Below are 12,642 nucleotides of genomic sequence, written 5' to 3'. Positions count from 1 at the left end.
TAGTACAGTTGTTATGGAAAACAGTATGGAGGTTTCTCATAAAAACTAAAAATAGAACTACTATACAATCCAGCAATCCCACTACTGGGTACTTATCCAAAAGAAAAGAGATCAATCAGTATATCAAGGGATACCTGTACCCTCATGTTTACTGCAGCACTATTCACAATAGCCAGGATATGGAATCAATCTAAGTGTCTATCAATGGGTGAATAGATAAAGAAAATGTGTTATATATACACAATGGAATACTACTCACCTATAAAAAGGAAATCCTGTCATTTGCAGCAACATAGATGGAACTGAAGGTCATTATGTTAAGTGAAATAAGCCAGGTACAGAAAGACAAATATTACATGTTCTCACTCATATGTGGAAGCTAAAAAAGTTCATCTTACGGTGTAAACAGTACAATGATAGGTTGGTGAATGGGTACAAACATATAGACAGAAAGAGTAAGTTCTAGGGTTTGATAGCACAGTGGGGTGACAATCATTAATAACACTATATTGTATAGTTCATAATAGCTAGAAGAGAAGATTTGAAATGTTCCTAACATAAATAAGAAACGTTCGAGGTGATGGATAGCCTTAGTACCCTGAATTGATCATTACACATTGTATGCATGTAACAAAATATCACGTGTACCCGTAAATATGTACGATTATTATGTGTCAATTTTTAAAAGCATCAAGAAGAAATTAGAAGCCTAATTCAGCATATCACTTAAGTTCAACATGTGAGATGCTGACATAATGACAAACATCAGTAATTTTTGTACTTCTGTCACTATTTTAACCATATCCACATACCTCCTACACTGTTGTTTCCTTGATATTAAGTTGACTCTTTTTTACTTATGCTTCTTTATAAAAGAAATTAGTGGACTGCAAGGTGACATAAAAAGGTAGGAGAAAAAGAAAAAAGAAGATCATGGCTGAAAGGGAAAGGCACTCAGGATTAGAGGCAAGGAAGACAGGTAGGCGCAAGTCCAGGATTGGAGACACAGGATCTGTGGGGCGAAGGTGGCCCAGCACAGACATAAGAAGGGATGGAAGCTGGGCAATTAGTTAGAGGATAATAGAGAAATGCCAGGGAATGGGGATACTTGTAGCAGGTAGCATAAAGCTGTGCCTTGAAAGAACACAAGGGACAGACAATAGGCATGAGGGCCAGGGAGGCTGGAGACATACTGGGGCCAAGAAACTAAGGCAGGGCAAAGTGTGAGGCCCAGGCAGGGATGCCAGAAGGAGAAGAGGGAGACCAGAGGTAGGAACGAAGAGAGAGCTGAGGAATGGGTGGGATTAAGGAGGGCCCACAGTGAATGGGTGGGGCAGGAGTGGACAGCCCAACAGAAGCAGGCATCGGGGAAAACAGATTGTCTTCTGGACTGTGCCAAGCAGTGACCAGCAAGAGAAGCTCAAGAAACATCTGTAAATCACCTAAAATCATCTCATGTACTACCAGTGGTGGACATTCCCACATGCTGGGAAACACTGCCTGATGCTCTGTGAATAAAGAGCAGCAGTCTTTCATTCTTCCCATTACCAAAAAAAATTACATGTAAACAAAGGAACGTAAACCCCTACCTTACTTGTCAGGTCCCCATGAATACACCAAAACTCAACAACAAAAAGCAATGTGACTTCTTTTATATACAACTCATGCTTCTTATCTCTATGAGCTCTTTTCTTTTGATAGACAGTCCCCACCATAGCAACCATCTCCTTAGTCAACGTCTATAAGCACAGAATACAATCAGCAGAATTGGCAAACGCCCAGTAACAAACACCACAAAAACAGCATCTATTATTAAGGAGAATAAATCATCAAAATAATGTCTGAACAAGCTGGTAGTACACTGTCAAATAAATTCTTGCATATAGTTAAGTATAGCCCTAGAAACAATACCCTTTATTTTTTAAATCCTTACCCTTAGCTGAACAGTGATAGGGGAGACAAAAGATTAGTCTGCAATCATCAAGCCTACGCTGTTATTTCTTTGTAAAGTTTATTTCAGCTCCATGATGTGTTCTAATGTTTCCTGCCTTTTCCTAGGTGTGTCAAATCACAGATTCACTTATCCTCCAGTCACAGCCAAGTGAGTGACTCAGGCCAGCATACAGCTCATCCATTATTTCAATTTCCTGGGATAAACTCATCAGTTCCCACTTCTCATTTCCTATCCCCTCCTTACTTTCTTGAGGCCTGTTACTTTCAAGATGACATAAGGCACGACAATGATGAGGGCAAAATGATATAAAATCTTCAAACAGATCAAAGGAGCTAAATTCTGTTACACTTAAGAAAGATCAAATCTAAGGGAATTCTGTTCACTGCCCAGAAAGGCAGGTTCATCTTTCATTCATTTACTCATTCATTCCTTCAACAAATATTTATTGAGCATCTTTCAATGAGCTAGCTCAGCCTAACATGCCACTTTAAAGCATGCCATTTTCTATGCAATGTTAGGTAACATTCGTTACAAGAGGAAAGTTGCTATAACTGAAAATTCTTTTTGAATATGGATGTGGGTATGCACACATGTGTAATACTTTAATACTGATTAACCAGAACTGGGCAACATAATCAACACCCAACCTCCAAACACCTGGAAATCAGACACCCTACACAGTCAAGAGCTACTGGTCTAAAACTTCACATTAAGGAAAACCCTATAGATAGAAATACACATAAACTTTCAAATTACAGCCATATGTGGTGATCAAACGTGCATGGAAGACCACATAATTCTTGCAACCAGCTTTTGCTATCCAAGGTGACAGGTTAATCTATCAACCCATAAATTCATTAACCTGACATTTCCAAAACGCCTGACACTGTATATGCACTAACACAATAAATTTCCCCCAAATTCTATGATGTAGGCATTATTATTAATATTCCAATTTTTAAGATTAACAAACTGAGAATTTGGTTAAGTATAGCCCTAGAAAACAAGACCCTTTATGTTTTAAGTCCTTACCCTTAGCCATTTATTCAAGGGCACTTAGAAGGCAATGGAGCCAGAACTTGAGCCTAAGTTTGTGACTCATGGATTCAAGCATTTCTAAAAGATAAAAATAAATTGGTAGTATTATAGCTTATACATTAACATCTAGTTTCTTCTTATAATTAGCATCATATGGTAGTGTGAATCTTGTTTAAATTCATGTAAGTATAAATTGTCTCTAAGCCTCTAACCATTCTTAATTGGACTTTTCTTAGTTCCCGGTTATTATATACCACCTGTTCCTGTCTTTCCCAGGATGTTTGTTGGAGAGTGAGAATTAACTGCCTTGGTAATGAAAACTACCATTTAAAGAGTACTTTGTTTGTGCCATGCACTGGGATAAGTATTTCACTTGTAGTTTCTCACTTAGCCCCTACGGCAACCCTCTGAGTTGGTACTACCATTATCATCATCACCCCTTTTTACGAATGAAGGAAAGAAGATACAGAGAGGTTAAGCAACTTGCCTGAGGTCACAAAGATAAGGAGGATTCACATCTAGTGGTCTCTTCTCCCTTCTCCCAGTCTATAATCTTCATCAGTGTGAAGTTCTGATGCCCTTCTTAACGCCCTCATCTCAAGTCTGGGCTCCCACTGGCCTGTTTCTCGGTGCTAGTGAGAAACTGCTTTTAGTGTGTGCTGGTTTGGTTTCCTCCATCTTTGATTTCTCCCCTGATAAGGGCCCTGTTTCACCTGCTCTGTGCAGCTGTCTGCTTCCACCTGGTATTGATCTCCCGGCACACCAAGACTATTCCTCACAGAGATGAATACACCTTGGGCTGTATAGCAAGGCTTCCCCAGGGCCATCTTTTCCATCAGGAGTTTGATCTCATTCTTGCCAAAACCTCTTAAAGAAGCCAAAGCTTTTAAAAATAATATTCAACATTTTAAAAAATCAATTACCAAACAAGTTCACAGTGGCTTTTCCTTACAAAAGAACATCTGGATTTGTGTCACATTATCAGAAGACTTTAATTGCATTAATATTTGATAAAATGTATTAAGGTCAGATTAACCTGAGAAATAAAACTGATTTTCTCTTTTCTTTCCACTAACTGCAAATTCTGTACCGGCTGTATCTGTAGATAATCAAAAAAGGGAGCTATCCTCAGGATAGGTAGTAATAGTTCTGTGAAGCTAAGAGGTGCATAGGGAGGAACTCAGTATTTACTAAGCACCTACTGTGTGCACCATATATGATGTTATATATTTTACATGTATGAATTAAATAATAGCTCCAGAGCAACCTCAGCACATAGGTCTTACTGTGCCCATTTTATAGATGGGTAAACAAGCTCAGAAAAGTCACATAAATCAGGCTAAGGTCAGTGGCAGAGCTGAGACTTGAGCCTGAGTCTGTTTGCCCCCAGCTTCTTACTGCAGGAATCATTCTCCTTCTGCACTGCTTCTCAGAGAGTTCTATCAAGAGCCCTGCAAGACAGGGCTTAACTTGTATTTGACTAGAGTACTGAGCTTGATGAAAAACCCAGCAAGAAATGAGATCCTGTTATACAGATGCTCCCCAAATGACCCTGTGCTCCCGATTCCCAGCTGGGTCATACATGTCCCCAGAAAAACAGCCTTTCTTTACTTTCCATGGGTTTGCTACTTGCCTCTGTTTCATTCCTTCTCTCTCTTCTTGACCCCCCTCCCCTCTCTGCTGTGTCTTTCTGCATGTCTCTTTATGTCTCTATGTGTATTTATCTCTCTCAGTCTCTCATACAAGCATACACACACTCAGGATACCTCGATCCAGCAGCCGGAGCAAGCGGAGATACCAGAGATACCACTGGTCCCAGAAGCGGTCCGTCATCCCACCCTGAACTCATCCTTCACAGCCAGTCCCCTCGGCAGAGCCTCATCCCACCACCGCTGACTCGAGGAGGCCGGAATCACTTGACGCTGGGCTCGCACACAGCCTGCTCTAAGCAAATGCCTGCCTGCAAAGACAGCCACCAGTCCTCCCACACAGAGGCTGACTGTGCCGGGAGCCGGTTTCACAGCAACAAAGGAACAAGTGCAGAACAACGCCGTGTGCAGACCGAGCCTGCCTGGACCCAAGGGGAGGTCGGAGATGCGTGGGAGGGAGTCAGGAAGGGTTTTCGCAAAGACGCGAGGTTTGCAGTGGTCTTGAGAATGAAAATCCACAGTCAAGTCCATGTCTTAAATTTTTTCCAGCATCTCCTGCCATCCTGGCCTCCATACCTCCCACACCAGAGGCCAGTGGCTCCTCCAATAGAATATGGGATGGGAAGCCAGAAGCTCGGCCATTTTGGACTTTGAGGCCAGTCCAGGAGCCTGGGAGCGTTACTGCCTCACTGCCTCACTGTAGGGACCACTGGCTCTCCTTGCCCAAGACTGCAGGACCTGCATGACTGGTAAAAGGCCACAGATCCTTTTTCCCTACGTCCCTTCATGGAACCTTTGTTATAGTAGAGACAGCATGGGCTTTGAAGTCACACAGTCATGGGTCCAAATCCTGGTTGCCACTTAATACTTGCCTGGCCTGGATCAAGTTTTTCAGCTCCATGTGCCTCAGCTTCCTCCTCTGTAAACCAGAGAGAACAGTATTTGTGAGCCTCAAAGCAAAAGAAGAATATAATGTTTCTGGTGTTGCACCTGGTAGATACTGGTAGATAGAAGGTTCTCCCTTACCTCTCAACCCCTCTCCCTCTTGCCAGACTCTCAGTTCCCCACACATTCATACATCCCACGGTTTTCTATCCCCAGGACTTTGCTCCTGCCCTTCCTGCCAATAGGATGCTCTCCCCACTCTCCACCTCATCATGGCCAAATCCGCCTAATTTTTCCAACAAATAACTCAAATGCCACAGAATCCAGGCAGACTTCCCTGATCTTCCTTCCTTTATATTTTATTTTTTTCATTCCACCTTCTCCTTTGTATATGACTCTTCTCCCTTACTTGCCCATAAACTCCATCTTTGTGTCCCTCAAAGAACCCTGAACTTCGCAGTTACTCGAGTGATTACTAACTAGACAAATGAACATGCAAGGGCATCTGAGTCCCTGATACAATGTTATTTTCAAGGCAAGGAGAAAAGTAAGCTGCAGAGACCTCAGCCCCTGGGCATTGTCTAAGGCCTTTGGGGCATGACGGGGTGCCCAGTCCTTGCCCAATCACAGCCCCTCTTACAGTGGGCCAGCCTGTGACCCAGGTGACTGGGAGTGCTATTCACTGAAATGAAACCTGAGGAGTCCCCAGGTCTAGGATGACCTTGTTCTCCAAGCCTAAAAACTACCCAACAGCCATCTGCACATTCATCACAGCTCTGTGCAGCCTAGGCCATGCCAGCAATGCCTTCTCACTGTCCTAACAGAATGGTGGTCTCCCAGGCCTCCTGGTCTCCATCAGGCAACTGGAGGCATGTCTCCCTCAGCACCAGCTCTTCCTTGGAACTTATACCTCCAAGATGAGAGAGGGTGCAGATTTCTGAAGAACTCAGACTGGGGAGGAGGCACGTCCAGGGGGTAGGAGCAAGGAGGGAGAGGGAGAAAGCAAGCAGAGTCACAACCTCCACCGCCTGCCCCTGCCCCCCAACTGCCTTGTGGTTTCTTCTTAAACGGCAGCATTGGGTCTCGGCAGAGACATCACCACCCAAGAAGCTACCTCTCAGGCTCTGTTAGCATTATTTTCTTATTACCTTAAATGGACAAGACTCCAGTGTGTAGTTAACACAAGAATGCAAACCCCTCCTCCTCCCTCCAGAGAGAAGTAACCCGGTGTTTCTCCCTTCACGAGTAACAAGAATCCATCGCTCACATGTGGCCAGTACTTTTTCGTTCACAAAGTACTTTCATAACTATCATCTCCTGTTTGCCCTGCAAGGTCTGTAGGATGGGAATCACTTTCTCCAGTATACAGAAGAGAAAATCCATGTTCCAAAAGATTAAATAACTTGTTTAAGGTCAGATAACTCGTAGGTGCCCATCTGTCTCCTCCCTGAGAGTTTCTGGGGCACTAAGAGATTCTCTGGGAAATTGTGACACGTTTCACTGAGATACGGGAGCCCTCACAGTAGGGCAGGACCTGGGGAAACACTGCTGTTTCCTAACAGGAACCCTGAGGGAGGCCCCTCCAGGGCAGTGCTGACATGCCATGGGCACAGGTTGAGTGGAGGGTCCAAATGTGGCCACTTATTAACTAAGGGCTTTTCATCTTTTTCTTTGGCCCCTGACTTATAACTGCAGAGAGAGTGCATCTCCAAGTAAGAATGCCAAAAAGGCTTTTTCTAACACAACTTGGGAGAAATCTGAAACGGGAGGCTCGCATCATGGCAGGAGACCTAGACAGAGAGGGGCAGGGGAAGAGCATCTGACTGTGAGGCAGAAAGTCCCAGAGAGTGCTCTAATGGTGCTAGTGCTACAAGCCTCATTCTTGGGGCTGGAGAAAGAAGCTGGCTCTGTTCCCCTCCCTCCAGTAATCAAGGGCAAAACATTCCACACAGTCTCATTTGCAGAGAAAATGGGAATAAAGACTGTCAAGAATAATATGGGTGCAAGCACTTCCCCCGCAAACAGACCTAAGAACATAAGCAATGCCCATTGGGTCAGCCCCAGGGTGAACCCATTCAGCCTGGAGTTTTACTCAAGATTGGCTTCAACCCATCAGGCTGGGCTCCTTGGAGCTCCCCAGCCCACCACTGCTCATTTCTCCATCTCCCACAGAGCCTCATAAGTCTTACTTGAAATGCAGCCCCTCCAGAAGTTGAATAAAATGTTCCAAGAGACTGTCAGCATTGCCATTTAACTGCAGTGCAATTAGAAAGGATATTGGCCAGGACACAGCCTTATTAGTAGGTTTTTGTTGTTGTTTTTGTTTTGTCTTATACAATGCTTCCACAGTGGCTCCTTCTTTCATCATGGTCAAAGCAAGCACAACTATTCCCATTCACGTGTTTCCTCCAGCCCACCCAGCTGGCTACAGAGACATGTTTTCCAGGGACAGGCAGTGACACCAGGCCAGCAACAGCCCATCCACTCCAGAGGGCTGATGCCCATCCGGATGTTCAGCAGTTATTTGATATCACAACATGGATGTGTTCCTTTCTCTTCGATGTTCCTTCTTCTTTCCTTGGCACTGTTCTTTCTCCCTCTCTTCACCCACCCCAACTTGAAAACACTGTGTTCCCAATCAGATAAAGCCAGCACAAGTGTATAGAGCAGAAGGCAAGCAGCACGGAGGGAGGAGAGATCCAACCATATCCCAAATCTTTCCCACTCATCTCCTGGGACGACAATGGCCACTGTCCCCTCAGCAGCACTGGCCCAACTCCTCAGACACATGGACCTATCTGGCAAGTGAAGGCAATACAGGAGGTAGCATAGTTGCTGGTATCTGCAAACCAAAGTGAAGACCGTCCACAGACATACTGATCTCCCTCACCCTGCCCCAACAAGCGGGCTCCACCCGGCTACCATTTTGACCTGCAAGCTGTGCTTCAGTTGTAACATGAATCAAACACTCCAGCAGACAGCATCCTCAGTCACCTCCCACACCACTTCTGTCCCCTTGGCGATTAGCGCCCAAGTGGTGGAGTGGAACCCGTGGCAACACATTCCCAGGGATACCATTTCAAGGGTGGGTTGGACCCCTGCCAGTCTCTCCCATGACAGCTTAGTGTCCCCAGGTGAACGGGCTTCTTAGGTCCACACCTGAGGACAGTATCTACAGCAAGTAAGTATCATCTAGACACTGAAATTCAAGTCCACCCTCCCAAGAGGCCCTTTCCAGCTAACCTCACACATTCTCTATCTCAGAGGTTCTCAAAGTTTAATGGGCAGCAGAATCACCTTAGACGGTTGGTTATCCATACAGATAACAAGGCCTCACTCCCAGAGGCCTGCATTTTTAACAAGCTCCCCAGAGAATTCTGCAATGGTGATCCATCCGCTTCAGTCCGTGCTCTCCTCTCCTACCCTCAGCACCAGCTTCGTGTCACTATCTTGAATTCTAGTGCGTACCCCACCTCCCCCAACACCCTGAGAGTCCAATAGGGAGGGAGATTCTGAGTCCCCCATTAGAGTATGCTCACCTGGAAGGCAGAGGGGCCTCTCTCCTCTCAAGGCCCAGTAGAGGGCCCCACATGGAGGGGTGAGAAGCTGCCACCCAGGAGGCTGAGAAATCAGCCTCATCTCTCCACAGGCTCCAGAAAGCCTTCGTTCTGCCACAGTTCCACTGCACATCTGTACAATGGCTTTAAATGTCACCTCAAATATCAGGCCAGGCAGCAGGAGGGAAAGGCAGAAGCTAATTATTCCTCCTTGCCTCAGCTTTTGTGTAGCTTTCATCTTGCTCACCTCCGACCTCTGCTGAGGATCTTTAACTCTGCCTTGGCTGAGGCATGCCCAGCTCATGGAAGACAACCTTTCACTGCCCTGGGCTCTAAACCACCTTGTTAAGTGGTGAAAACCTGATCCCTCCCTACCCCTTCTCTGGGGGCTTCTAGTTCCCCCAGCAGTCAATAGAACCCCCATGTTGCACTGAATCTCTAACACAGCATGTCACCCCAGTACCCCCCACTGCCCACACAAGAGCCAGTCCCCTCTCCTCCTTCAGGACCTTATAAAGCTCGTCTACCCTGGGCCCCATGCCCTCTCCACTAGGTCCTGTGAAAAGTACCATGACAACCTCATCCCATCCAAGGTATTTATGATGAGAGCTTAATATTTAGGCCCTCAGGAAATATTCCTATCTTGGCAAAAGATAAAGCCTAGGTCAAAGGAAGGCATAGAGGAGGGCAGGCCTTAGGTAAGCAGTGGTGGGGGTGGATATCTGCAGTCAGGGAGCAGAGTCCATGACTCCCTTCCCTAGGTCTTCACAGGCATGTCCCTGTGAGGCCATCCTGATGAAGTCAATCACAGAAGCTGGTGCACCTTCCATCCTCCCTCACTGCCCTGACCTCCCATTTCCTACTCAGCATGAACACCTGGTTGGCTGCCTTCCCCAAGGCACCTACATTGCAAAGGAATTCTTCCTGAAAAAAAAAAAAGCTGGAAATATTTGGAGAGACCCTCTCAGAACTGATCCATGAGGCCTCTGCAATCCAGAGTTCACTGTTACCTCCTCTGTTTCCCTCGCAGCCAGTCATGCAGTTCCTCCATCTCATTTCCACCAAGAGCCATTTCTCTGCCTATCAAAGGAGATGGTGTTACTTCATGGCCAACAGGAGGCCGTTCACCCCCCAGGAGGTTTGGCTTCTCTTAAATGTTCCTCACATCTCTCAGTCCCTGAGGTCACCATCAGAGAATCAGGAAGCTAAGTTGCCAGTTACCACAGCTGAAGCCTCACTCCTCAGCCCAGGCAGAGCCCTCCTGTGAACCTCTACCTGCTCTCTCCATCCCATGCCCTTCTCCATCCCCTCCAGGAACTTTTCCAGATAGCCCCCCTCAGCAGGTCTGCCCAGTAAAATCAGGCACCATACCATAGGACTAGGATTGATAATAATGAATGTGAAGTTCAACCATATCAAAAGGAAACCCCTGTATTGTCAAATAAATGCTAAATTTTGGTTAGCACATATCTAGAGCTCAACATTTTTTTTTCTACTTAGTCCCTTTTTTGCTTTAGTCCCTCGGGTATTTTTTTTTCTTTTTATGGAAAGTATACAATCTGTGTGTGTTCCACAGGGCCACCCACTGTTAAATCAGAATATCTGACTCACCTGAATGCCCTGGCTCCCTACATACACATCAAGCTGGATAATGAAATTACTTGCACACTAGCCAATTTGAATATTCTCTTCCTTGGCTCTTATTTTCAAAAAGAAAAAAAAAACTAGTTGCGAAGATCACTTTACTTTTCAACAAATGAATGCTGCTTATGGTTCTTAAAAATAATTGAGTCTCATAAATTCTATAAACCTTTTTATACCTTTTGTACCATTAATTTGCAAGCCTTCGAGGTACTGGGAAAGGGCTGAGGCTTTAGAATAACTTCCCACATCTCAGTTTCTTCATCTTTTGGATGGAGATAAGACTAATCCCATAAAACTTGAACTTTTCATGAGGAAAAAACAAAATAGCATATAAAATCCAAAGCACTACACTTAATACATAGTGGATACTTCATAAAGGTTAGTGCATTCTCCTGCAACAAAAACAAGCTCAGGTCACATTGAAATTCTCAATTCATGGGACCAGAGTTAAAGTCAAGTCACTACTCCAAGTTTCCCAGGCTTCTCTACCTGCCCTTCAGGAGGGGGCAGATTCTTAGAGCTTATGATTCCTCTAATTCCTGTGACACTCTCCTTCCCTCACTAGGGAAATGAAAATGTCCAGCTGCCCCAACTCATCTGATCTCCTCTTTCTGACACAGGTTGGAAAGTTCCACTGGAGATTCAATTATGAAAACTGTTTTGACTATACCTTGTGACACATGTGGATGACCCTCGGCACTGAGGAAAAAAGAAACTACGAAGTTCCTGATGGACCATCCGCATAGTGAACAACAATTATTTGGCATCCCGAAAAGTCCACCAATCCTGGCCTCACATCATGATACCCATGGGGAAAAAAAAAACTATAAAACTTCAAGAAGAAAAATTTTTATAGTCTTAGGGTGGGATGGTTTTCCTAAGCAAGACACAAAACTCAGTATATTGGCTTATATACATATTTTTAAAATTTTTTTGAAGGATATACAAATCACCAAAGGAGAACAGGAGTCTGAGCAACAGTAGTAGAAGGACAACATTTTACTGTAACTCATCTTACACATTTTGAATTTTGACTCTTGAACTGTATCACCTAACTCTTTAAAAGACGTTTCAAAATAATGGAGTCAATAATAGATACAACTGTTCTTGGCATCTAGCTGCTTTGTTGTGAGAAGGCTAAGCTACATGGAAAGGCCATGTGGAAGAGAACTACAGATGCTGGTTGAGACCCCCAGCTAGTCCCAGCCCCCTCCCAGCCACCAGAGGAAGCCTACCCTGGAGCTGCCAGCTATCCCAGCACCCCAAAAGACACCACATGGAGCAGAAGAACTGCCTGGTAAGCCCCACAATTATGAGAATGATAAATTGATGTTCTAAGTCACTAAGATTTAGGGTGGTTTGTTACAGTGTAACAGGTAACAAAACAGAGTCATTGGTGCATGCAGAGCAAGGTAAAGCCCCATGATTCGATGAGATCGCCAAGGAGATGTTGAAAATGATTGTGCCTTCTTTCATCTAGAAGACAAAAAGCATGGTTAGTCTCAGAACCACATCTATTTATTAATAGCTTCCTCTCTACTCTTAGAATTCTGAAGATGGGGTTGTCACAGAGGGTGCCTAATTAACATGCTTGCTTGAATTATAAAAAGAAATTAGACTTTCTCTGACAGGAAGTAAGTATGTCTAATTTGGCTACTTGCTTTGACAATCAGATTTGCCTTTCCCAATTCATATAAATCTGTAGCTCCAAGATTTTGAAGAAAATACGTTTAAAGCCTATTATAATATGCAACATGCTAGAAAATTTATTATTTGCAACCATTTAGACTCATGGTAAAAAAATGTTTAGGTATCCACTAAAATGCATGAAGGGGCATAAAGGTTTCAATATTCTTTTAGAGCATACAGAAGCAAAAAAAATCTGATGCCCACTGAATGACAGTATACTTTCACA

The 12,642-nt window shown here is 44.4% G+C and overlaps 1 protein-coding gene across 33 annotated transcripts in view; it reads right to left on the bottom strand.

The window, feature by feature from the left end:
- KALRN (kalirin RhoGEF kinase) overlaps positions 1 to 12,642 on the bottom strand; it is a 692,957-nt gene that overhangs the window by 626,663 nt on the left and 53,652 nt on the right. For 9 of the 33 annotated variants that reach the window (NR_028136.3, NM_001024660.5, XM_011513281.4 and 6 more), the window contains exon 1: positions 4,759 to 4,956. The exons of the other annotated variants lie outside the window; for them this stretch is intronic. Coding sequence is in view for 8 of the 9 variants with exons in the window: in NM_001024660.5 (NP_001019831.2) it covers positions 4,759 to 4,825 (67 nt within the window). In the remaining variant the exon portion in view is untranslated. Of the gene's footprint in view, positions 1 to 4,758; positions 4,957 to 12,642 lie in introns of those variants that run through there. 33 annotated transcript variants of the gene reach the window in all.

This window comes from Homo sapiens, chromosome 3 (assembly GCF_000001405.40).
Source record: "Homo sapiens chromosome 3, GRCh38.p14 Primary Assembly".
Lineage (NCBI taxonomy): Eukaryota > Metazoa > Chordata > Mammalia > Primates > Hominidae > Homo > Homo sapiens.
Note: the sequence above shows the minus strand (reverse complement) of the source record. Positions and strands in the feature narration are given on the sequence as shown.